Source organism: Homo sapiens, chromosome 4, assembly GCF_000001405.40.
Source record: "Homo sapiens chromosome 4, GRCh38.p14 Primary Assembly".
NCBI lineage: Eukaryota > Metazoa > Chordata > Mammalia > Primates > Hominidae > Homo > Homo sapiens.
The window spans coordinates 65,219,144-65,247,085 of record NC_000004.12 but is presented as its reverse complement, the minus strand read 5'-3'; the positions used below and the strand labels follow the sequence as shown (position 1 = coordinate 65,247,085).

At 35.1% G+C, this 27,942-nt stretch overlaps 2 long non-coding RNA genes across 2 annotated transcripts, besides 1 other annotated feature; one reads left to right on the top strand and one right to left on the bottom strand.

Annotated features, from left to right (window-relative positions):
• Positions 1-13: 13 nt before the first annotated feature.
• On the bottom strand, positions 14-5,185 carry LOC124900852 (uncharacterized). Its single transcript, XR_007058452.1, has 2 exons — positions 2,992-5,185; positions 14-1,646 (listed from the first exon to the last, which is right to left on the bottom strand). It is a non-coding gene; the product is annotated as an uncharacterized LOC124900852 (long non-coding RNA).
• Positions 5,014-5,891: an enhancer, noted in NCBI's record as "H3K27ac-H3K4me1 hESC enhancer chr4:66106913-66107790 (GRCh37/hg19 assembly coordinates)". NCBI's record gives its function as "activates a minimal SCP1, AML or CMV promoter by ChIP-STARR-seq in primed H9 embryonic stem cells {active_cell/tissue: H9 hESC(primed)}" and the evidence as "EXISTENCE:reporter gene assay evidence [ECO:0000049][PMID:30033119]".
• Positions 5,266-21,227, top strand: LINC02835 (long intergenic non-protein coding RNA 2835). Its single transcript, XR_002959796.2, has 3 exons — positions 5,266-5,904; positions 8,622-8,702; positions 21,076-21,227. It is a non-coding gene; the product is annotated as a long intergenic non-protein coding RNA 2835 (long non-coding RNA).
• Positions 21,228-27,942: the final 6,715 nt, after the last annotated feature.

Here is a 27,942-nt window from a genome sequence, read left to right as displayed (position 1 = left end):
GGGACCAAATTTGTTCAGTTTGTCCATTCAGTGTTTAATCAAGACTATTATCAACAAGATTCCTGCCATATTGATTTTAGTATGTACCTCAGGGTCCAGAATCCAATCTGGTGAACAAACCCAGAAACCATCAGTATCTACCCTAGAAAGCCAAGTGGCTTTCTACTTAGGTTTATTAATTATATTGGGATCTTTCTACTTAGCAGAAGGCATCACTCCTGGTGCAGCAAGATGCATTAGCAATTTTCTAGCCACTGTCTTGGTTTGCAAGGAGGAAGTTAGAGCAAACCTATCATCCATGACATCTTTGCCCAGAGAGTAGGGGATGACCTGAATACCTCCAGGAGCCAAGGTTGTGTCATTAATTACTTTGCTAAAGCCAGTAACAAATTTCATATGAACTTTCTAATTAAATTACTTCCTTCTTTGAGATAACTTTATGTAAGAAACGAAATTTATGAGTCATTTATTTTCTGGGAAGCTTTCTCAAATGTATTCATTTTCTCTGGCTGCTATATTTTGCAGCTTAAAGCAACAAAAATGTATTATCTTACAGTTCCTAAAAGCAAAAGTCCAAAGTCAATTTGTTGGTAGGAAAATGCTTCCTCCACATGCTCTAGGGAATAATCTGTTTCTTGCCTCTTCCAGCTTTTGAAAGTTCCAGTTTTTCTTTGGCTTGCAGTGGACTCACCGCTATCTCTGTCTCTGTGGTCACATTACCTTCTCCTTTCTGTCTCTCGAATATTTTTCCACCTCTCTTTTATAAGAACCCTTGTCATTAATCATTTAGGGCTCACATAGATAATACAAATGATATCCTTATCTCAAGCATCTGCCAAGACCCGTTTTATCAGAAAATAATGTGGCATTCACAGGCTCTAAGTATCAGAATATGGATATATATTTGGGGAAGGGGGGTCATCATTCAGCCAAATGCACCAAGTAACCAAGCATAACCTCATTTTTTAGCTATCTAAGCATTTATTTGAAGGCTACATAATCTACTGTCGTGTTTTCTTAAACAATTAAAAGTCTTTCACTATCACGCTATCACCCCTTAGGTGCAATTACCATGTTTCTGGGAGGGAAGCAACTTAATTTCTGGCTTCCCGTAAGTACAGCCGCAGGGATGTATATGGTGTCCCTAAAGGGAAAGTTAATTATGTTGGAGATCTACCGAGTATACCTACATCACTCAGGAAGTACTAGTTGATGGCACAGTGAACATGGCCTCTCTCTGGCTGGTAAACCTTAGAGTTTCCAATTAAGTTAGAATAATTACATTTAGTGCTTGATTTAAAAAAAAAAAAAAACTGCCTAAAGGCCATCAATCTACCCTGTGTTATCCAGACACTCACTGGACAACATTTGTCTATCCTTGGAATGACCGAGTGACTGTCGTGGTAATGCAGATGGGGTAGATACTCAGAGAGTCCAACAGCTATTTTACACGGAGATGTAAGAAATAGGATCATGGTCTACTGTTTCTAATAGATGTCTAAGATGAGGTGGAATATCTATCAAATCATGGTCAGAAGCAACTGGCAAGGAATGACATTCAGCAGTCATTTACAATTTAATGCACTTCCAACAGTTTAGGATAGTCAAACCAGGATGTATTCTTTGAGGGAGCTTCCAGGGTAGTTCTGAAAGAAAAAAGATCATTAACGTTTTCCCCTCCTCATATCTCCAGGAGTCTAAGGTATTTTCTCTCCAGGTGCTATGATTGTTGCTTTCCACAAAATTGGTGCCTCTATTTCCAAGAGTTGTAACTTTGCCTTTTTGTTGTTGTTGTTGTTGAATCGTCTTCTACTCATACCTACACCTTTTGTCCAGTAGGATCAGGTAGAAAAGAGACAGGGCATTTTGATAAAATGTACAGAAACCCATTACATTCCCCGACTTGGCCCATGTGAGCCACCTTAGGAGGACTCAGTGAACAGTGTACTTAACTAAGTATTCTTTATCTTTATGATCTCAATATATGTTAGTTCAACATAAGGGTACAAGTGACTGAATCAGAAATAACTCTAAACCACTCCCTGCCCTGAGACAGCATGGTGTACAAATCGGGCGAGCCTAGTTTGCCATTAAGGAAAGAAAAAAGGCATTGTGACCAGGGATGGTTAGAGCATAAACTTATTTTCAAATTAGCTTATGTAATTTCCCACTTCTTGCATATAGAGCATTATCTAGAATAAAAAAGTAAGATTCTGCTTATAGAAAAGTTTTAGAATTATTAATTCATTATTCAGTAAAAATCTCTTTTGAAGTTTTTCTCAATATTTCATAAATTTAACTTCTTTCCAAATCAAATATTATTGTGAATTATTTGAAGCAAAGTTCCAAGTTTAAATAAAAGCAATAGATTTTATCCCAAAATAACAATAATTTATTCATTATATAAATAGATTACTTTCAACTTTTCCAAGGCATTTTCTTCATAATCCCTTTGATCATCCTAAGAAAAATAGAAGGGGCGTTATAAAGCTATCTTTTGATCTCTAAAAATTAGATAACTTGATAGTAATTGAATAAAATAAGATAAAAATCCAAGAATTTCATCTTTCTCATCAATGTTTTTGAACCCACATTGAATACATTCCTTATATTAGTGCTTCTTATCCATGAATGTTTCCGCAATTTATCTGAGGATCTTGAGAAAATGCAGATCCTGATTTTGTAGTGGGGCCTAAGATACTGAATCTATGAAAACCTCCCTGGAGATGTTGATGCTACTGGACTCTGTATCACACTTTGACAGGCAAGGTGGCATATCAAACTCCATTTGCTATTTTTGGCTTTCAGTTGAAGTCACATTTTGTCCATGTATTGGTCAGGGATCTCTAGAGAGATGGAATTAATAACAGATAGATAGGTAGGTAGATAGATAGATGCATACATACATAAATGCACGCATACATACATACATACATGCACGCATACATACATACATAAATGAGAGGGAATTTACTAGAGGGATTGGCTCACCTGATTATGGTGGTTGAGAAGACCTGCAACAGATTTCCTGCAAGGTGGAGGATGAGATGCTGGTAGTGTAGCTCAGTCCAAGTCCAAAGTCCTCAGAACGAAAGAAGTTGAAGATGTAACTCTCAGTCCAAAGCCAAAGGTGTGAACATCCAGGAGAGACTTGGTACTTGTGTAAGTCTTGGAATATAAAGGCAAGGCCGGGCATGATGATTCACTCCTGGAATCCCAGCACTTTGGGAGGCCGAGGTGGGCAGATCACGAGGTCAGGGGTTCAAGGCCAGCCTGGCCAACATGGTGAAGCCCCGTTTCTACTAAAAATATAAAAATTAGCTAGGCATGGTGGCAGGTGCCTGTAATCCCAACTACTCAGGAGGCTGAGCCAGGACAATCATTTAAATCAGGGAGATGGAGATTGCAGTGAGCCGAGATTACGCCATTGCACTCCAGTCTGGGCGACAGGGCGAGACTCTGTCTCAAGAAAAAAAAAAAAAAAGAATAAAAAGGCCATGGAGTCTGGAGTTGCTGTCCAAGGACAGCAGAAAAAGAGTGCATCTCAGTTCTAACAGATAGACAGGTTTGTTTTTTTTCTCCAGACCCCCAGCAGGCTGGATAGTGCCCACCCACATTAAAGGTGGAAACCATCACAGTTCATGTTCATCACCATTTAGGAATTCTTAGGGAAATCAATTACTAAAATTTGTTCTGCCTTTTCCTCAGTAGTGCATATTTTTCACATCTTACATGGTCAAAAATGAAGCAACAGTTACTAATATGGTTATTCTGTAATTATAACTACATTTTCAGTTGGTAGTATATCTTACCTCTAAAATTTTATAATCAAGTATAATTATTAATATTGTAAAATGCAGTCAGCACTTCAACAGCTAAGTGTGAACTGCATGAGTCCAATTATAAGTAAGTTTTCTTTTGCCGTTGCCACCCCTGAGACAGAAAAACCAACCCCCCTTCTTCTTCCTCCTTCTCCTCAGCTTACTCAACCTGAAGACAGAAAGGATGTCCCTCTTTCACTTAATGAATAGTAAATATGTTTTTTCTTCCTTCTGAGTTTCTTAATAACGTTTTTTTGTCTCTAGCTTACTTTATTGTTAGAATACAGTAGGTGTTAATTGAATCTTTGTGATATGGGTGAGGCTTCCAGTCAGCAGTGGGCTTCTACTATTTAACTTTTTAAGCAGTCAGTGGTTATGCTCAGATTTTCAGCTGCATGGAAGTCAGCACCCATAACACCAGCATTGCTCTAGGGTCAACTGTGTATTGAAAAGAATAAGACCAGAAAATAATCCATCTTCTTAATCTCTGCTTTCTTTCATACTCAACCACATGTTTTTGATGGCAATGGTAGCTGGTCTGGAACAGCCACTGCAAAGACGCCAGCTGCAGGGGAGGAAGTGCGGCCCGGGTGACACACTCCTCAGGGCGGTAGGAACTGGGAACAGGCAGGAGCCCATCCCCCTACAGAGCTGGCAGAGTGGGAGCCCTGTGGTCTTGGGCGCAGCTACAGCTGCCCAGCTGTAGCTTCAGATCCGAGCATCCCTGTATTGTCAGGGGCCCAGGAAGCTCCTTGCCACCGCAGGCTTGAAAGTTCCTGCTCCCATTGCCTGACCTCACCCCACTCCTGGCGCCCACTCTGGTGAGGATCAAAGTTGTGGCAAAGCCTGGGTGCTGTTGCAACCAGACCGGGTGTGTGTGCGCACGCTCAGGGTGACACTGAAATGCCAGCCTTCTGCCACCTCAGCCCCCTCTGGACTTCGGGCACCGACGAACATGGGATGGAGGCTGAGGAGGGGCTGAAGTCAGCTTGGCAAAGGCCACTGCTTGGTAAGAACAGCCTGGGCACTGTGGACTGCATGTTGATGGCGGGAGGCAAACAGGTTCCTGGGTGGAAAGGGATTAGTCCCACGTGAAGCCCCACCTTCAAGGTAGAGACGGCCTGAAGCCTGGTGGCCGGGCTGTCAGATCCAGGTGGAGTGGGAACTCATGGTGCTTTTTACCAGCCTGCCCATGGCTGCCCATGGATGAATCAGCACGTACTTTCTCCCTTCTGAGACCGTAAAATCCCCGAAACCAGCCAAACTCACATAGACATCAGGATGACTTGCCTGTGGAAAGGAGCTACCCATTCTGGTTCTCCGCTCCACTGAGAGCTGCACTCATCACGACAACTTGCATGTGAGCGGAACCACCCACTACGGGTCTCCTCTCTGCTGAGGTGGACACTCATTGGGACAACCCGCCTGCGGAAAGGAGCTGTCCACTTCCGGTCCTCTGCAGCCGTTCTGTCAATGAAGCTCCTCTCTGCCTTGCTCACCCTCCACTTGTCCGTGTACCTCATTCTTGTCGTGGAACAAGACCCTGGGACCCAGTGAATGGTGGGACTGAAAGAGCGGTAACACAAACAGGGCTGAAACATGCCCACCGCTCGCCACTTTGTGGGCGACGAGGAGAAACGAACTGCTGTGGCCCTTCAGGAATCCCAGACCTAGAGACTCCTGAGCCAGGGCTGTGACACCCTCTTTGGGGCTCCGCAGTTTCTGGTGTCTCCAAGCTTCCGGGTGCCATCGTATTTCCCAGTGCCTGCAGTGGAAGCCATTTGTGGTAACGCCTGGTCCAGCCAGTCTCACACGGAACCCACGCCTGTGCTGGCGCCTGGAGCTGCCTGCCCAGTGGCAGCAAGCACGCATGGCTGTGTGCAGTGGCCAGACCCCATGCTTATTAACACACCCCTTGCTACTCCTCACCAGGCTCGCCCTTGGCAGGTGTGGGATCCAGGTCAGTATTATGAGCCAAATACAGCCTGCTGGGGCGAGTGAGCAGAAGAGGCCAGCGGGCCCGTGTAAAACTCAGGCAAAGGCACCACCAGCCGCAGAGGTTTCCAACTGAAAAAGTGACACGGTAAGGATGGCATTTACACTTTAAAATCTAGTTTACGTATTGTTTAGCCTTTAAATTACAATATAGGCGTTGACTATTCAAGATGCTATAGTCCTCTTTTCAGCTTAGAAAGGTCACCACAGTGAATCATTTTCGATTCAGTGTTAATGGAGTCATAAGTCTTGTTAATCTGGTTGGAAATAAAGTAAGTTGAGCCAAAGTAAAGTAATTTTTAGATTTCTAGAGCAACCTTTTTGGATAGCATTAGATATAATGTTTATATACTTTTCAGTTAATGTATTATTTTCCTCATATATACATTTAACCTTTGCCACAAATGTATAATATATGTAAAGATTTTGGAAGAGTCTTGGGAAATATTGTAATTAACCTTGATGATGGTGGTGGTGGTAGTTACACAGACTTGCTGGAGAGTCACTGGCTTGAAAATATTATTTTTAGACAGTATAATAGGGTTGCATAATAAAATGTTGAGGTCAAATCCCAGAATTTAAAATAGTTAAGACAGCACATGTTTCTGTTTGGAGCAGGAGTGCTGGCAGACTCTGTTTCACCTTTAAATTCTTAGTAGCCCTAAAGGCTCTTCAGTGGAAACCCAGTGTTATTGATCCTTGATATTTAGTTAACACATAGAATGCATATGTCACTAGATTCAGGCTTATTCAAGTTGGAGAAAAACTCAGGAGCCATAGAAATGGGACATCAGATGATCATGGTTTAGATTAGTATAATACTTTTATATAATTATTGGTACCCACTCTTTTTATATCCCTTTCTCTGAAATGAAACTATTTTGAGGCCACTACTCTATTTTTGGCAAATGTTAAGATGTAATTGACCTTATGATCATGCCAGCATTGTTCTTGGCTCTTAAACTTCTGGAGCATTCCAAGTTTATAAACTGCAAAATAGAAACAACAAAAATGACATTTCACTAATCTGACCCATTTATTCCAAATACACCATGAGAGTCAACTGCAGGTTTATCAGAAGAAACAAGTCCCTGAACTCTATCTCTCTGGATTCATGGATTGACATTTCTTTGCTCTTGAAAAAGACTGAAGTCAGACAACAGTATTGTTTAGCTAAAAACATTAAAAAACAACAACAACAAATCTCTCTAAGCACATAAATTACTCCCCTTCTACACACACACACACACACACACTCACACACGAGCACACAGCTACACACAAAGAGAAAACAAAGTTATATTTTTTCAGATAATAAAATAATTAGAAAGACAATTTTATAAATGTATGTAATACATCATTTAAGTTTAGAATATCTGATTTTGTGTGGCTCAGGTAAATAAATAAACCATGGCTCAACAATCTAGCCATTAAGAAAAAAAATGATCAGGATTGATTGTCGAGAATTTGGAAACACACACACTAATCCAAAAATGTGATACTGACTGAGAAAGTGTTCCTTCCTTAAGTCTCTACAACAATTAAAAAATTACTACATTAATAACTACATGAGAACAGATCATTGACAGTTTCTTATTTTTCTTTCAATGAAAGACATTTATCAAAAATAAATTAAAACTCTATTGATCTTTTGAAATGCAATGTATTTCAAGGTTGACATTTAAACATAAACCCACAGTTTAATAATGTTCTTAAACTGAAATGTAGTTTTTTCACAGAGATAAAACACTGCAGTATTGGAATAAAGAGACCTTCTGTGAGTAAAGCATTTATCGAAGAGCATTTCTAGTAGTGGATTAGAAGAAAAGATGCCTGTGATGATGAATTTTATGATTCAACTTGTCTGGACTATGGGTGCCCATTTGGTCAAACATTATTTCAGTGTGTCTGTGAGGGTGCTTTTGCATGAAATTAATATTTTAATTGTTAGACTAAGTAAAGCATATTGCCCTCTCTGATGTAAGTAAACCTCAGGTTATCAGATAAGGCACAAAATGGAACAAAAATGCTGACCTCGTATGAGTAAGAGGGTATTTTTTCTGTCTGATTGCTTGAGCAAGAACAAGAGATTTTTCCTGTCTTTGGACTTGAACTAAAACATTGGTTCTCAGACTAGAACTGATACCATCAACCCTCCTGGTTCTTAGGCCTTCAAACTCACATTGGGAATACATTATTGGCCCTCCAGGGTCTCCAGTGCACTAATTGCAGAACATGGGGCTTCTCATCCTCCATAATTGCATGAGTCCATTCTTTATAATAAATCTCTCTCACACTCTCTGTACATATGTATGTATATATTATCTGTCTCTCTTTATATAATATATAATACCTATATACATATATAACATGTATGCATATATTATATACAGATACATGTTGCATATTATACATGTTATACATGTATATGTGTATATATGTGTGTATATACACACATATGTATATATGTGTGTATATACACACATATGTATATATGTGTGTATATACACATATATGTATATATGTGTGTATAATACAAACACACACACACACAACACAACAACACACATCCTGTTGGTTCTGTAACTCTGAAGAAATCTAACACAATACTGTAGGTATTCAAATTTTCATTATCATAATTACTTTATTTTATCTTTATCTTTCTAGCAGTGAATATCACAGATTATTGACTTCATTTGGAACATAAATAAGTTATTCCAATTATTCTAATATCAATAAAATATTATATGAAATATTTACATACTTAAGGACTGAATCTTGACAAAAGTAAATGACTTTTTTTAGGTTTGATCTTCGCAGTGGCCTGTGGCTAAGACTGATATTAAAGGAAGAATTAAAATCCTGAATCAATCATGAACTTTAAAGGTACAATATTTTGCTTAAAGTAAAAATTATTTTTGTTTGCTTGCTTATTTGATTTACTAGTGAACAATATGGATGAGATAAATTATACAATAAAAGACACAGAAAAACTCTATTAACTTAGTGTTTACTCATATATGTATATATGCATATACACACACAATAAAAAATACTAGTGAGGCACTTCAAACTGGTCCAAATATATACCATTTAACAAATATTCATTGAGTGCCTGCTTCATGTCAGGCACTATCCTGGGTACTGAAAAGTTAATAGTGAGCAATACGCATAATACTCCCTGTCCCCATGGCACTTACATTCCAGCAGGGAGAGACAAGGGGTGGGTGGTTTAGTGATAAGTGTGCTCCAGTCAAAAGGATTCAGAATCAGATTCTATTGGAAACCAGTGCATGCCCATTTAGAAGCTGAATGACCTGGGGCAAGTAATTTAATCCTTCCAACTCATAAATTTTATCTTTAGAACTCAGATAGTCATATTGTCTTAGGGGAATTTGGGACAAGATTAAGAAGAATATCTTTTAACTTGTCAAGGTTTATATTAATAAATCAGTGTCTTTTGTCAATTTGAACTCCAAGACATTAGGAAGCTGAGGAAGATCAGTCAGAAGTAACTTTTTATGAAGATTTTTTTTTCCCTCTACCAAAGCTAATATGGAATAATAAATATAGCTGTTGACCCTTTTTCCTAATCTTCTGATGCTTAAGTCTTTTCTCTTAATACTTTAAGTTACCAATCCTAGATTCCAGGTACCATGTTTGAAAAGGGGTGAACAAAAGGTTTTTGTTTTTATGGACATATTCTGGGACATATGGGACATATTCTGGGACATATTCTGGGACATGTTTTTATGGACATATGTCACTTCTCCTCCTTGAGATAGTCTCCCTTCCTCCATTAAGCCTACAATGATTGACTGTGATGGCACCTAATTACAATTCTTTCATTCTCATTTGCATCACTAAAGAACCAGATTGTCTATTCACCCTCAGAGATATCACAAGGTGACAAGCAAGAAAGAATTTCTCAAAATAGGGGAAACAGAGACAAAAGAACATTGTATTATATTTTCTTGTTATAACTGAATTAAATTGCATCATAGGAATGGAATGGCTTAAGCCTGGCTCTAATAGGCTCTTCTTGTAATAATTTACCAATTTCAAATATTCATAGATGATAAAGTATTGTTACATGGAAAAGGCCTCAAATCCCTCAGTCCACTAGATGCAGGCTTATTCAAGTGTCCCTGGATATATCTCTATTTCTATCTCTATCTCTAGTTCTGTATGCATGTATGTGTATGTACATGTACACACAAATTCAAACATGTACATAAACACATATATGCACATATGCACATAATACATATGCATCATGTTTGGAATGTGTACTAATGAGAGAGCAGGTGTACTAGTCAGTGTTTTCCAGAGAAACAACCATTAGGATGTGTATGTATGTACAGATAGATAGATACGTAGGTAGATAGATAGATAGATAGATAGATAGATAGATAGATAGACAGATAGATAGATAGATAGATATTTTTAAAAATAAATTGAAGTTGACAATTCTAAAATCTACAGTGTGGGCTGGCAGGTCAAGGACCAAGAAAAGCCCATTTTTCAGTTCTAGTTCAAAGACTGGCCGGCTGGAGACTCTGGAAAACTGATGGCAAGGGTGATGTCCAAAGACTGTCTTCTGGACAATTCCCTGTTGCTTTGGGAGACTGATATTTTTGCCCTTTTCAGACCTTCACCTGATTAGATGAGCCCTAGCCACATTATGGAGGACAGTCTGTTTAGTCAAAGTTTACCAATTTAAATGCTAATTTCATCCAAAATGCCCTCCAAGTTGACACATAAATTAAGCATCACAACAGCATATGGAAAGAGCTTAGTTGTCAGTAGTTACTATGGAACATGTACTATCGTTCTTAATTTTAAAGTAAGCCTGTGTGTGTGTGTGTGTGTGTGTGTGTGTGTGTGTGTGTGTAAGACAATTTTTTTAGTCTTTTAGACTTATAAGAACAAAATGTGATATTATCTATAAAAGAGTTTAGCAAACTGCAAAGTTCAGTATAAACCTAAGGTGGGGTCATTATTATTATATATCTATATATTTTTAGAGATGGGTTCTTATTCTGTCTTCCAGGCTAGAGTTCAGTGGTGCCATCATAGCCCACTGCAATTTCAAACCCCTGGACCCAAGCAATTCTCACATCTCAACCTCCTGAGTAGCTGGGCCTACAAGAGTTTTAGATATTGGCTATCTAAAAAAATATATATATTTTTTGTAGAGACAGGGCTTCATTATGTTATCCAGGCTCAAACTCCTGGCCTCAGGCAATCCTCCTGCCTTAGCCTCCCAAATAACTGGAATTTCAGGAATGAGCCAGTAAGCCTGGCATGGAATCATTATTATTATAAAAGCTTTTGGAGTCATAATTATGTTGAATGTGCCTTTTAGATACCTAAAACCTGTGACTCTAAGAGCAATGCTAAATGTGTCATCATTTTAAAATCATTCTTATCATCTTTGTTGGCATTATCAGAATTTAAGTATAGATAGATAGATAGATAGATAGATAGATAGATAGATACATAGATTGTTCTGTTTCAGTCTTTTAAATTTCCAATGTGAAATTTGCTCTTTCTTGAAAATTGCATTTAAACATTTAAACCACATGCATTTATTAATCTTTCAGATTCACGGACTACTTCCTATTTTTCATGTCAAATATCTGGTATTATTTTTGAGTGCCCTCATTCTTTATCTAAACTTTGAAATTAAGTACAAAATTCTGAATTTATGGGAATTATGTATTGATGAGTTTTAATATTAAAAATTAAATTATTTTAAAATACTAAAAATTATTCCATGATAACAGACATTGTACTTTTGCCAAAACAAGTTTGCAGTTCCCTGGCTTTATACTTGTTGTGGCATATATTTTTTCTTTAATTGTTGACACTATTGGGAACATACCAGGGGAGATGTAGTTGACACTATTGGGAACATACCAGGGGAGATGTCCAGTCAGAAGAGGCAACATTATTGATTGCATTTAGAAATTATATAAGTAAACATTGATTGTAATTGTACATTCTAAAATTAAGAAAATTATTTGGCATATGATAAGCACTCAATAACTGTTTAATTAATTACCTCTGGCTCTTCCTGAGTTTTGCTGGTTGTCAGATTTTAACTAAGGAAGGTAAAAACACAAAACTAAAATTCAATTTATCCTCTTATATTAAAATAGGTTGAAGAATTTCTCTTTGTCACACCTTTGTTATAAAAATATACTGCATCATGAAACTATGAGAGAATCACTCTATCGTCAACACTAATGGAAAAGAAGAAACCACCAGTGTATATTATGTTTAAGGCATATAGCTATTGGTAGGCAACACATTTAATTTTGTGGTAAAATATGATTCCTGCATTAGAAAATTCAAAAATTCGTATGCTATATCATTGATTTATAATTAGCTTGAAAGCATAACATCAAGTCAAACATTTCTAGGTATTTTCTGTCTGAATTCTTTCAGATTGTTCTTCTTCTACCTTCTCAGAAATAAAAGACTTTACAAATAGTTTCCAATTAACTGACCAAAATGGTAATTGGTAGATGAAACTAAAGGAAATGGTAGCTTAAAAATAAAAAGGCTTAGTAAACATGTAGTTCAAAGGCTTCCTCTTTCTCTTAGCCAATGTTACACAGATATCAGTGCACTGAAGATTTGTCTATTTTAAAACAACTTTTAAAAATTCATAAGTGCAGTGAAGATTTGTCTATATTACAACTTTAAAAATTCATATTATGCAGCTATTACAAAATGCTACATGTAAAAACATAGATTAATTTCTTAAAATCAAAAGGCTTTATTATAATTATATGCAATGATTAAGATGAAGTATTGAAAGAAGAATCCAAAGGAGATAATTTCATACCCCTTTGATTATAATCTATAAAGAGAATAAAACCTAAAATTTAAAACTCTCTTTTGTGAGATACATAAAGCATTCCTTCTGGGCATATGTCACAAAACAAGTTGTCAGCCAATTTACAAAGTCACCACAAATTCACACTATCCATTTCCTATGAATTATATTTTTACAAGTGGTATTCACACCATATGCACATTGGATTTTCTATATACAAACCAAGTTATTTGATTCATAAGCCAACAAGTGATCATTCCAAACCATAATTTCATACATAAACAGGTTTGCGGCAATCCAGAAGTTAATCACACTCAAATGAATTCATTAACTAACCAACATATTTGCGATAAAACTCCAATCTGTTAGGCACACAAAATTGTCTGGAACTGGATTTTGTTGTTGTTAAAACCATACGGTATTTTATTTTTTCTGAAAGCACATTTGGAAGACCTCTTGCTGTGGCTCTTCATTTGATAATTTTGACACAAAAAAAAGTCGTCCCAAAGATTCATTTGGATGTCCATTGCAAATCAGCACAAACAAATGATTATTGAAAAAATAAATTGTTATTGTCGAATGTTTCTGGTTAACAAACTGGAAATATATAAGCACTGTGCTCAAGCAAATATTCATTGGACATCATCTACACATAAAGCATTTTACTAATCACTGAGGGGATATGTAAATGTAAGAAATGGTTACCTCCATGAATTCCTTGGAGGAGCTTCCACCAAGGTAAAGAGGTAAGGCACTGACGATTAAGGTGAAAAATATATAGACATGTATTTAAGTAATCAAATATATAATAAAGAAAATAACATGGTACAGTATCACAGATGTTACTGATGTAGTTTGACAAAGGATGCTAGAGAAAGTGGGAACTGAATTTGTCTTTGATAAAATATATTGCTTTCATATAGATAGCAGAAAAAGACAAGCACCTCAAACCTAGAGAGCATATCCCTTTTTCTTGTTGTTGTTAGGAGTGGTGAAGAATAAGAAAGATGAGGAGAATGGTTAGGCTGAAGAAGTAGATTTGTCTTGGGAAAAGCAGGAGTTATGGTTGTCTTCTTAGAGTCAGGTCAGATTTTGGAAACTATTACAAGGGAGCTGAAAGTGTCAGTCATTTTACAGTGGATAAAACTGAAACATCAAAAGATTAAAAATAGCGTACCTTTTGTTTTAAAAATAATTTTGTATCAGTGTTTATACACACTGGACAACCATGAGAGGACTCTAATCTAAGACATTAAAAGTTTGAAAGGAGAAGAAAACAGTCATTTTAGAAAGAAATAATGAAGTCATAAGGCGCTAAGTATATGAATAGTTCTTTGTTAAATTGAGATAAGTAAGAACAAATCTACATAAAAATAGAAGTACCCAAAGATGATATATTAGATACAGTAATTGAAAGAAGGAGTGGATAACAAATAATCAAGTAAGTGATTAAAATAACAGTTTTAAAAGAATGGAGTTGTGCTATATGGGAGAGGAAACCATTATTGATGGTGTAAGATGGGAGTGACTCAGGGAAGAAAAGAGTGATGAATTCAGTTACAGAGCTATTTCAGTTAGGTAGTGATAAGGATTTATTTACCTGACCATTGCAAGGCCAGAAAAGTTGTCATTTTAATAAAATATAACGAGTATTCCTACTAGTGACAAGCATAACAATGCTGTACATGACTTCTACTTCCTTTTGATGGGAGTGGACCCACTTCATTACTTCTTTTGAGGTACCCAGAATACTTTTTATATATTTACATATTTAGGAAATTACTTCCAAAAATACTTAATGTGGATTGCATCATAAAATGTACAATTGTATAAATCAAAGTAGGTGAAAAATTAAAACATAATAAACCACATAATATTAGGAATAAGAATAATTTCTAAATTTTTACATGGCATCATCTCCTAATCACTTACTGTTATTAGACCAATGTGACTCTACAATTTTCTATAAATTTTCAAAAGGAAGAAAATCACAATTATTTTATTCCTTTCAGTTGTAGTTTTTGAAATTAACCCCTTCCTAGCTTTGCTTTACTTTTTTTTGTACGCTGTAAATGAAATAATATTTCAAAAAAGTTTACATAATGTTTACAGTTATAATCTGAAAGTAGTTAATGCAAACATGCCACTCTGCTGTCATTACTAGAAGTCCTTTTTCCCATTGTCATTATCATGGACAGAACCATACTTTCTATTAAATCAACCACAGATTTTTGTGTGCAGTTGCTTTTGGTTTTTGAAAATGTATTCTTTGTAACAGGGATCCCCATCGTCCTGCCCCAAGCATGGAAAAATTGTCTTTCATACAACCAGAAATTGATCCCTGGTGCCAAAAACATTGAGGACCACTGCTTTATAACCATGTGTAAGGTGGTGTCAAATATCTTTTTGATGTTTATGAGATCCAAGAAACATTCTTTAATTATGATAGTACTTCATGCATTTTGGTTATTTATAACATATTGTTATTTTATTGCCTGTTTCCTCATTATACATTAGTGAAGTATTATGGGAGACATTGATTTGATTCACAACAACTGGGAACATTTAGTCCTCATTATTGTACTACTTCTATTTAGATTTGTCTACTTTTAAAGATATAAATTAATGGACAAATAACTTGGGATGCTTTCTCCTTTACTTTTTGCTCTGTTTTTTAATAGCTCTCCAAATTACCCTATTCATAAAATTAATTTTCATTTTTGTATCAAAGAACATTTACAAGAAATGAAATACCTTAAAATGTGACTCCCAGTCGGGTATGGTGGCTCGTGCCTGTAATCCCAGCACTTTGGTAGGCTGAGGCAGGCGGTCACCTAATGACAGGAGTTCGAGACCAGCCTGACCAACATGGTGAAACCCTGTCTCTACTAAAAATACAAAAATTTGCTGGGCATGGTGGTACGAACCTGTAATCCCTGCTATTAGGGAGGCTGAGGCCAGAAAATTGCTTGAACCCTGGAGGCGGAGGTTGCAATGAGCCAAGATGGTGCCACTGCACTCCAGCCTGGGTGACAAGAGTGAGAGACTCCATCTCAAAGAAAAAAAAAAAAAAGTGATTCCCCATCACTTTATTTTCTTCCAATTATTTTTAGTGAACAAAAAAAGTTTTTCCAAGACATTAATATTCACTTCCAAGTTATACTGTTTTCAAGATAATACATCTGATTTGAAATTTTCTGTTTACTTTTGACATTTTAAAATAGTAACCTTGTATTTAGCTAGTTCTCTAGCAAGAATTTTTCTTCAGGGACTACAAGAATCTTCAGAACTAACAGAAAGTAAAATCTATGAAGTTCAAAATATCAAGATTCCATAAAAATATGAGATAAATTGAACTTTAATATTTTAGCAAATGATATGACAATATGGTTTTAATATTTCTATTGAGCTACACACAACTGGACAAAAAGAAATCACACTACCTATTTCAACAAATTCCCTATATTTAATATAGAGAATTTGTAACAAAGCTGTTGGAAGGCTGTATAAGCAAAAAGAGAAAACAGGATCCAGAGATAATAACTCAAAAAAAAGAAAAAAAATGACTTGCAGAACAAAAGGAAGAAGTTACTTTGTCACATCCTAGAGTCTGGGAAGAAGAGCAACACAGATCTGGAACTTCTTCCTGAAGAAGAAACTAATCTGTAGCTGGTTCCACTAAGGAAGAATAATGAGACTGGTTCAAAGAGTGTCTGAAGAAGCTCGTGGAGAACTACCTGCTGCTCTAGGAGGAAAGGTCTACTTCTGGGCAAAAATAGTAAACAAAGCATTTAGTAGGACCTTGTCCCCCTTTCTCTTCCTGCATTCCAATCTCCTTCTATTTTGTCGTATTTGGAGCTGAGAGAAAATTGACAAACAATACAGACTATACCAGTCTACAGCCATTTGTGTTGATGTAGCAAATACAAGCAACATGCTTCTGCCTAACAAAATGCGACTCTCCCCAGTACAAAATAAATCTCTCTCACTCTCTCCACAAGAAGCCAGATGCAAATTCCTAACAATCATGGCATCTATCTTTGGCCTCAGTCCCAGCACTCATGTTCATCCTCTTCTTGTTTAGTTACAATCCCACCCTAATATCATGAAACCTAAAAGAAGCATTGGAAAGTTAACCAATAATCCTTATACAAAATGATAATGGAAATGAGGAGTGAACAAAAAAGTATTGAAAGATAAAAAGTAAATAAATAATTGGCATATTATTTTGGGGTCAATTTTGAATGAAGATAATAACCATAAAAGATCATGACTAAAACACTGAATGAAGAGTGAGTACAAAAATTCTATAAAAAAATTAAAGGCTTATGTTCTATGTTTTTTTAAATTTCTAATTTGATGAAAAGTTTTCACTGTTGTAAAATAAAGGTATAATTTACCATGGAAATTTTTGCAGTGTAATTATTTATCATGTTTTATGCTGATATATATTTTCTATTGCAGAAATTTGAATCAGATACATGTAATTTCTCATCTATGATATTGTGAGTTTTTGATGAATAATACCTGTTTTTCAATCTTAAAATTAACAAATTTCTGAAAGATTCCTAACCTATTATTTAATTTGCTATGTGTCCATGTTCTCTGGTATTTTTAGTTTATATTCTACATAAGCTAGTCATAATTGCCATACATCAAAATCTCTATACAGTTAGGAATTTTTCAAATATTTGTAGCAACATGAGTTTAATAACAGAGAATTAAATATCAAAATATGTAGGTTAAAATTAGCATAACTTATGGATATCTGGATAATATAATGATATAAGAAAATTTTAACAACCACTGTCGTTCATTTACTTAATAGCTCAATAGTGAATTTTGCTGCATAGTAATCCAAATATCTTACTGGTACGGACTTTTCAGGTTTTGTTTGTTTGTTTGTTTGTTTTCAAGGAGATAACCAGAAAGAAAAAAAAATTCTTTCAGACTTTTGAACTCAGTTTAATTTCAAACCACACAACCATGAATTCTTCAATCCTAGTAAGTGATGATCACAGAGGGAGCTCATCCTTTCATCACAGAGTTGAAGAATTATTTTGCTCTGTGCAATTCTACTGGATACATTTTGACAGATCTTCAATTTTCATTTATTTTGTAATCAAAAGGAGTCATTTCCTTGTCGCTGGTACTGGTCTGAGTAGTTCAGAAGGAAGAAACAGAAACAGCAGGGGCAAAGTGTATGATATTTGAAACATCAATTCTCTCTAAATTTTGCTGAAAATTAAAATGACAGTTAATTTATTTATCTATTAGCAGAGTCAAAGCCGTTTATATGAAAAATAAATTCAATGGGTAACCATGCAGATGTTTTGTGGTTTTGAAGCTTTTTACTTGCTACAAGCAATATTTATGGACAAGACCGGCAGGTCTCTTTATACACTGAATATAAAGGGAAAAGGAGAAGAAAAAAAAGTGAAAAGAAGAAATATAATGTGAATAGAGATTTTTTTAAACCATAAAAATTAAACAAAAAGTTTCATTTAGTGAGAAGTAACTTATTCTAAATTCAAGATGTCAGATATAGTTTTTGTTTGATATTATCTCATATCTCAGAATCTTGTTTTATTTCATATTGTGAGACTTCCACTTGGAAAAATATTGGTGTTGGTAATCATTCTTATCCATGTTTATCTCCCCGACTTCATCTTTTCTCATGATGACAAAAAATTTCCTGAGCTTATTTAAGCACATTAAAACAAATTATGAGAATTGTTTCATGTAATTCTCACAACACTATGAAGTAGCTACTATTATAATCTCCACTTTAAGCATCTGAAGGCTAGTGATGTTAAGTAACTAATTTAAGGTCTAGAGCTGCATTGTACCTGTGGATTAGAAAAATATGTCTGCCCTAAGCAGGCATAGAAATTAGTGTGGTCTGTGGGTGGGCAAGCAGACCTCTGGCTGGCTTTCATGTTGATTAGCAATTTTGGCCCAAAACATTGGTATGAAGATCACCCTGAACAACTCTGCATGATGTCCCTACTGAGGTCACACAACCTGTTATTGATGAAACTGAGATTCACTTCTTCCAATACGTGTATTTGTCACTACTACACTCTTTTGTCACTCAACTAACTCTAGTGAATACTTCAAACTTCAGATTGATTGTCTCTTCTTCCTACAAATTCCTTTTCTAAGTGTGCCCCTCTGAATTGGGTACCTCTCCACAAGCTTCAATCAATCTTGTAGATATTTCTGACAAGAATTCATCATATTGACTGAGACTGTGAAGTTACTTGTATATTTTTCTAGGTGATCAGTAAACATTACTATAGTACATACTTTCTCAGAACCTGCCAGACTGTCATATATTACGACTTCAATAAATATACACGAATATGAGGAAGTTCCATTGTCCAGTAGAAATTTGGTAAAGGCATGTCAGGAGCTAACAAAGCCTGAATCTGATCTGAATCTGAATTCTGAATCTGAAAGTGTGGAATAACATGAAAACAAAACAAAAAAAAACAAGTAATAGAGGACTTATGAAAGGATAATTTTTTCTAGCAGTCTATCCCAGTTGAGTGTACATTGGAAAACTGACATCACAGCTTCAATGACCCATGAAGAAGCACTGAAGGGTTAAACTTCCTCTTTCACTGCCCCCTCTCTAGAGCTTTCCCTTTTTATGCTATGTTTCAATGTGTTAATATTCTATGTTTCATTGAAATAAGGTGTTATGTTATCATATAAATGAGACCAAAGTATATATTGACTTCAATATATAAAAACCTTAGTTCAAAAACAACTCAAAATACCCTCTGGCCCACATGTATTTTGCTCTTCAGTATGACATTTAAAAGAAAGATAAGAAAATGGAGTGTCAGTTTTTTTCTAAGTCACTACTCAGTTGACATTTCTAAATAGCACAGGATTATAACAACATTAGATATAACTTGACTAATCATCTTACATTTGACCTCAATTTGTGAGCACATTTGTAATCACATGTCTTCAAATCCTATTACTCTATCAGAGTTTCAAAATACCATTCAATAATAAGATCCCCATAAGAAACTAAGCATTCTCTATACCTACATATGCTAGGTAAAATAATATACACATATAAATTATTTTGTCTGTCATTTCAAAAGTCAAACTATTATACAATAAGTGGCTAAAATGTATAGAAATATGACCCATGATATGTTTGTTTAGGATACTGAAATTTCCTTGATTCTTAATTTATGTGTGTATTTGCCAAAAAGTTAAGAAATCTATACAAATTTCCAAATTATCATTGGTATTTTACCCTTGTAATTTAATGGATGTGTTTCCCATGTAATTAGAAGGAAGACTAAAGGCTTGCAGGAATTCCACAGAGCCAGGGCTGTAACTGAATTCAATAAATTTGTGCTATGTTGAAGTTTTTAATTTTTTACTTTCTAACTTGCTACTTCTCAACAATGTATGGGTAAATGGGTTTAATATGTAATTTTTCTTTGAGAATGCTAATGAGGCTTAAGAATCAAACTCTGGGCACCTCTAGATTTATAAAAATATATCAATAATTGTCCAAAAATGAGAAAAGACCAAACTGAAGTATATATGAATGGTAGCATACTTTGCAAATTGTATATAACCTATACACTGACATAATGCTTACCACATGCTAAACACTGTGTACATGCTTTACATTCTTTGCTAATTTAGTTCTCATTTCAACCCTATAAAGTAAGTTGTATTATAATCTCTATTTTTCATATGAGAAAACTGAGCAACAGAGTATGTAACTTGCCTAAGGTCACATATTATGTGACAATCTGGATTCATACCAATGCAGTCTGGCAGCAAAACACAGGCTCTTAAATGGTTTTCTTGCTACTTGCCTAACATTGTACAAAAAACAAAATAATATGATTACAAGTGCAAAGCTATTTTAAGAACATGAATGTTTAGAAACAGAAGGAAAGATAATGCATATGCATTTGCACAGTTATCTCAGCTTTGAAATAAAATGAAAAAGGACTGATGAACATATGTAGTCAATTTCTTATGACTGAAGCCTATTCATGTGCACGGTGTCTATGTTGTGGGCTGCAGTTTCAGACTAACCTGGAATGTATAGTGAACTGGTAAATCAGGCTTACTATATGTCATTTATTGAGGTACTGAAGTATTTTCTTGTGAAGAAAGAGGCAGCCTGTTTCAGTGATGCAGTAAGGGCACACAATACCTGGGTTTGAAGTATAAGTCTTTATTTTATTAGCTGTGTGACCTTGAGCAAGTTGCTTACCTCTGTGTGCCACAGCTTCCTCATTTGTGACATGAAGCTAATAACAGTACCTGATTCTGTTATTGTAGTGAGAATTAAATGAGTTCATGTTAAGAGAGTATTTACAACAGCACTTGGCACAAATTAAGTGCTATACAATTGTTTTTCAGTTAAGATGAATTCAAGGATATCAAACTTGACTGCATAAGAGAGTATCATGTTTGGAGAGAAGAAATAATTTTATTGCGAGACACAAAGTGGTGTCTGTCACTTAAATCCTTCACCAATCTACCTCCTGTACTCGTGGAAAAAAAGGAATCAGTAAGTTAAATCTACAATAGTGCTTTTTAACCAAAAATTTACTAAAATTGGGGTGGGGGTAAAAATAAGCTTTATGAAACATAGTATAAAAAATAAATAAGCATTAGCTTTTGCCCTCAATGAACCAAACGTAACTTCAGCACATTGAAGAATGGAGTACCATGAAAAGGCATAAGTAGGGCTAGTTGAAGTGTTGTGGTACTATGAGGAAGCCGGCATTGCAGCAGGAGCAGCAGTGCCCAGGAGTCGATAGTGCAAAGCAGGAAACAACTGTGTGTTTTCCCTGTAATAGTAAGGGTGGTCAGTGGGTTAGGGAAAATAGTCACACTATAAGGTAAGTACCACTTGGAAGGGATTCTACTTCTCATGTATCTTATCAGAAATCTAGTGGAGAAACTCTAACATACTTTGGTACTAGTCTATCATTTATACTTAGGAAGATAAGTAAACATGGATTTAAAATTTCTTCTTTATGCAGCTTTCAGTTCCATGAGTATACAGTTATATAATATTTTCATCTAAGATCATTGTCACCATACTCATTTCCATCAGATGTGTATAAATGGCAATCCTGTCTTATGTTTAACTTTTCTAACCCATTTTTTTCTAACTTAATTCAGTCTTGTCACCCAAGTACTGAATACTAATATATTAAACATCTAATTTTGTAGTTTAGTTATCTGAGTTTGTAAAATCTGTTTCAATGTATATCCTAAGATTTAAGTAGAAAAACATTTGAAGAGGGCAATGTGGAGGAAAAAAAGGAAAATTTTAGAGAATATGAACTAGTCCCTTTAAGTTCAAAGAGAACATAAAACAGGGAGGTAAAAAAGAGGGTAAAATAAATGAATGTGAGTTGTGTTCTAAAGATATTAGATGGTGAAAACAAATGCTTTACAGAAATGCTCCAGTCCACAAAATAATCATTAAGTGTTATTTGAAAAATATAACTTTCAATCCTTGGGTATTTTGAGTTGAAGCTACCTCATTGTGAACTATGAAATATTCTCCATGTGTATAGTTGCTTAACATTTTTCTCATATGTTAAGTGTTATAGTTTGATGACACTCATAATCTCAACTGAAATGATAATGGATCTTTTCCAGGTTTGACACGGACTCTTGTTTTAATATTTTGGGGTATTTTTAATGATCTGTGGGGCTGGTGCATTAGTCTTCATTGTTCATTTTAAATATATTTCATGTGAAATTTTTTTCTGTTATTTAAAGAATTTGAAAGTAGAGAAAATAACAAAAACAAAACAGAAACATTACCTATAATCCCATCATTCAGGGGCAAAAATGTTTCCTATTTTAATATATTTTCCTCCAGCGTATCACTTTTAAAATGATAAATAACAGTGTAGCTCTCTTATTTTAAAACAAATAAAATATGATGAAGACAACTAGAAGTCAGGTGCTGTAACTGGAGGCCAAAGACCAGCAGTGAGAGCCCTCTATTTAAATCCGGGGTCATAAGTGTAACAGATAAATACATTAGGGAAATGGAAAACATTCAGCAACCACAAGGCTGGCAGGTTGAGAGGGCTGGGGGCTGCTGATTCAAGAGCTCTTCCTCCTGCTAGTTTATCATCCACACTTCAGAGATCTTTATGGAAATGACCAATAAGCCAGACTAGTGCAAATAAGTCCACTGAGGTAGTTCTTAATACCCATTCTTATCAAATTGAATCACGATGGAACTAATCTTCTACAAATTATTTCAGAGAGTTGACATTTTATGTGCACATTAAACCTACCTGGAAAGGGGCCATCAAACTGGAGAGGAGCACAGCTGATTTCTGTCAGGCTTCAACTTGGTATTTATTAAGCTAAGTCTGTATATCCTTTAGCACTGAGTGAAACATGACCATCCTTAACTTACCCAAGGTAGAGGCAGCAGGAGAAAACAAAGCAGCTAGGAAAGAAAAGAAAATACAATTGTGTTTTACAAAGAGCTAGATCAAATAAGTGTATTTAATAACTGTCAGCATTTTGACTTCAGATTAATGTACAGATTACACTGATTCAACATGGTTTAAAGGATGCAACTGTCAATACTGACTCATTTGCTTTGTAACTATTTACTTCAAGTAATTACAATTTCTAAAAGCCAGTGGAAGAAATATTTATTGCGTGACCACAATAAGACATGACAGTACTTAAATGGAAGGTTCTAGGTATGTATGAACATGTAATGTACAATACGTTTATCTTTTTGTGGAGATGTAAATAACACATTTTCAAGGCAGAGTTTAGAGGATTGAATACTGGGTAGCAAGACCAGAAGTGGAGATAATGATATCAGATCATTATTACATACAACCAGACAGTCTGTCTCTTATATAATTTATTTGCCTATGACGTTGTAGATAAAGAACATTATCCTGTACATATCCTAATTTTTTCATTTTTGAATCCTTAAAACAGTTCTGAGAAATAAGTTAGTTATTCTACTAAACCTAAATTACTCAAGAAGATATTGAGACTCACGAAAGATGCATACTTTGAGGAAGTTTAGCTTGGACTCAATGTGTTGTAAGTTCGGGGCTGCCGGGCGCAATGGCTCACACATGTAATCCCAGCAGTTTGGGAGGCCGAGGCGAGCAGATCACCTGAGGTCAGGAGTTCAAGACCAGCCTGGCCAACCTGGTGAAATACCGTCTCTACTAAAAATACAGAAAATTAGCAGGGTGTGGTGGCAGGTACCCGTAGTCCCAGCTACTCGGGATGCTGAGGCAGGAGAATCGCTTCAACCTGGGAGGCGGAGGTTGCAGTGAGTGGAAATCACGCCATTGCACTCCAGCCTGGGCAACAAGAGCGAAACTCTGTCTCAAAACAACAACAACAACAACAACAACAACAAAAATCTTTGGGGTCAAGGTTCTAATCATCATGGTATGCTGTTCCTCACAATATAAAATTATGTGCCTCAAATACTTGAGAATTGTCAATTTTAAATAGTTAACCTATTAGGTAAAAGAATCAATTTCTGCCTGATGAGATGGAACATTTTCCCACTTTACATTACACTTCACATTATATAGTAAATTCATTAATTCTCTGAAGATAAAATTTATGTTAATATACTCAAATAATTTTGTGCAGTTTCATCTCCATTTTTCTAATATTTCAGAATCACTAAGCTAACTATGATTTCTGTACCATTAAATTCTAAAGATGTTATTCATGCCTCATTATATTCCAACTCCAAGCAACACTTACTACATTTACCAATTTATCTCTTTCTGTAACACTTTCTTCCCTTGGATTCCTCCTACTTCTCAGATCACATATGTCAGTCACTTTTGCCAGTTCCTCTCTTTCTACCAAATGTTTGTGTTCCTCAAGTGAATCTGAAACCTTTTTTTCCCTATGCTTACACTAGGAAGTCTCATCTTTACTCACAGCTTTAATTATTATCTATATGCAGATGACTTCCAGATTGTGTCAATCAAGACCTAGCCTCCGGACAACATACCTACATATTTGCCTAACTCGCTGGGAGTACCTCTTGGATGTCTGCAACACACCTCAAATTCAGCTCTTTCAAGATTAAATTTGTCTTTTTCTCTTATATTAATGATTCTAACAAAGTAATTTCTAAGCAAATGTGTAGTTCAGCATTAGTTCCATGGAAAACTGAAAAATAATGGCTTAGATAAGGCCATCTGGAAAGAGCACAAGTAAAAATTTTGACTTACAGAAAATACCTTAGTTTGACATCTCATCTGGAGAATTTTTATGCCAAACTCGTTAATGAGTGCAACACTGCCAAGGTGTTTTGGAGCTTTGGTAGTTTAACACTTCACAAATTTCAGTCCAATTTCTTTATATGAATTTTTAAAAAAATGGATCATTGAAATAAATATACTTGACAATGACTTACTTATTAGAATATGTAACAGACCCAGCACTTCGGGGGCCGAGGTGGGCGGATCACCTAAGGTCAGGAGTTTGAGACCAGCCTGGCCAACATGGTGAAACCTCGTCTGAACTAAAAATACAAAAATCAGCCAGACATGGTGGCGGGCACCTATAGTCCAAGCTACTTGGGAGGCTGAGGCAGGAGAATCACTGGAACCCGGGAGGTGGAGGTTGCAGTGAGTTGAGATCTCACCATTGCACTCCAGCCTGGGTGACAAGAGCGAAACTTCATCTCAAAGACAGAAAAAAAAACGTTGCAGAGACAATCAACATTAAAAATTGAAAAAATACTCTTTGGTGTTAATTAATTACTATAGAAAAATAAAAAAATAGGGTATAACGATTGACTACAACACAAGTAATGAGCACACTAAGTCTGAATTTCATTCTTAGATGCCATTAATCTGATTTCATTAAAGTCAGTTTTAATCTAAGCCCTATGCTTCTTAAAAGGAATTTGGTTGAAACATTGTTCTGATGTTAATAAAGGAAAAATATTTTTTCTAGTTATAAATTATTTAACATATTACTATATAATTAAATGTTAATACATTGCATTTTCTATAAATTACAATATTCATTCTTACCAAATAAAAATAATATAAACTGATAATTGGCATTATTTTCATACACTCTTGAGAATATGAGCTAATAGGAAAGATGTGCCAATGCTGTGTCTATATGATGGAACTATTTAGAGCAGGAAAAAAATATGTGATCAGTCAATTTTATTCTCTAAAGGTTGTCCTTACTACAGCTTTTAATTGTAACACTATGTCAATTTTTGCTTCCAGACTGTAAGTAAGATGGACCAGTTAGCAACTTTGTGATCATAAATGTATAGCTAATTTAAAAACAAACGTGAAATATTGAAAATTAAAGTTTATTTTGAGTCTTATTTTTTGATGTTTGTTTCTATCTTATATTTGGTCCTTATTTGAAATGGAAATTTTGTTGTTTTTTTTTTTTTGCATATATGTGTGTTCATCAGGGATATTGGCCTGTAATCTTTTTCTCTTGTAGTGTCTTTGTCTGGCTTTAGTGTCATTGTAATAAATAAATTTGGAAGTGTTCCTTTCAATTCAATTTTTTGGAAGTGTTTAAGAAAGATTGCTTTTTTTTCCTTCTTCTTTAAATGTTCAGTAGAATTCAGTGACCCTGTTAGGTCTTGGGCTTTCTTTGATGGGAAACTTTTTAATTACTGATTCAATCTCCTTATTCATTGTTCTGTTGGGAATTTAAATTTCTTCATGATTCAGTCTTAGTAGATTTTGTGTATTAGATTGTATGCATCTGAGGCTTTATTCATCTCTTCCAGGTTATCCAATTTATGGGCATATAATTGTTCATAGTAGTCTTTTATGATCATTTGTATTTCTATGGTATCAAAGAAATGTCTCCTCTTTTATTTTGAACTCTATTCATCCACACCCTCTCTCATTTTTTCTTAGTCTAGCTAAAGTTTTGTCAATTTTTTTCATTTCCAGAAAACTGAATATTAGTTTTGTTGATATTTTCTATCATTTTTCTAGTCTCTGTTCCATTTATTTCTGCTCTGATCTTTATTTTCTTCCTTAACTTTTGACTTAGTTTCTTTTCCTAGTTTCTTGAGGTAATATTAGGTTATTCTGAATTGTCCTTATTTTTTGATGTAGGTGTCTATTGCTATAAAGCACCTCTTAGGACTGCTTTTTCTATATCTCATGAGTTTTTGTGTGTTTTTTCCCTTTTTGTTTTTTTCAACTTTTTCTTTTTTTAAATTTTGCTTTTGATTTTTTGACTCTGGTTGTTTAGGAGCATGGCATCTAATTTCCACATATTCATGAATGTTACAAAAATATTTCTATTATTTATTTGTAGTTAAATATGATTGTGGTTAAGAAGGATACTTGATATAATTTCAGTCTTTTCAAATTTGTTAAGACCTATTTGGTGGCATGACATCTGATCTATCCTGGAAAATGTTCCTTGTGCACTTGAGAACAATGTGTACTCTACAGTTGTTGGATGGAATGTTCTTTATGTGTCTGTTAGGTCCATTTGATCTAAAATGTAGTTCAAATCCAATATTTCTTTACTGATTTTCTGTATGGATGATCTGGCCATTGTTAACAATCTTGTTTTGAAGTCTCCTAGTATTACTGTATTGCCCCAATTTGTTAATATTTGCTTTATACAGTTAAGTGCTTTGGTGTTGAGTACATACATATTTATAATTTTATGTCTTCTGGATGAATTGATTCCTTTGCCAATATGTAATAACCTTTTCTATTTTTAAAATTTTTTACTTAAAGTCTATTTTGTCTGATATAAATATAACTACCTCCGCATCTTTTGGTTTCTAGTTGTATGGAATATTCTTTACAACTTTTCATATTCAATCTGTGTTTGTCCTTAAAGGTGATATGAGTCTTTTGTAGCCAGCATATAGATTGACCTCTTTTGTCTAATGTCCATTCTTTTACTCCATGTCTTTTTATTGGATAATTTAATTCATTTACATTCGAGGTAATCACTGATAGGTAAGGACTTACTACTGTCATTTTGTTCATTCTTTTTCAGTTGTTTTGTAGATTCTTTATTCCTTTCTTCCTCTTGTCCTATCATCCTATCTTCTTTTGTATTTAGGTGATTTTCTATAGTGGTATGCTTTGATTCCTTACTTGTTGTGTTTTATATATCTACTATATGTTTTTGCCTTTTCTTACTGTAAGAATTACATAAAATATCTTATAGTTGCAACAGGTTAGTTAAGCTGATGATAAATTAACTAACTTTGATTACATTTAA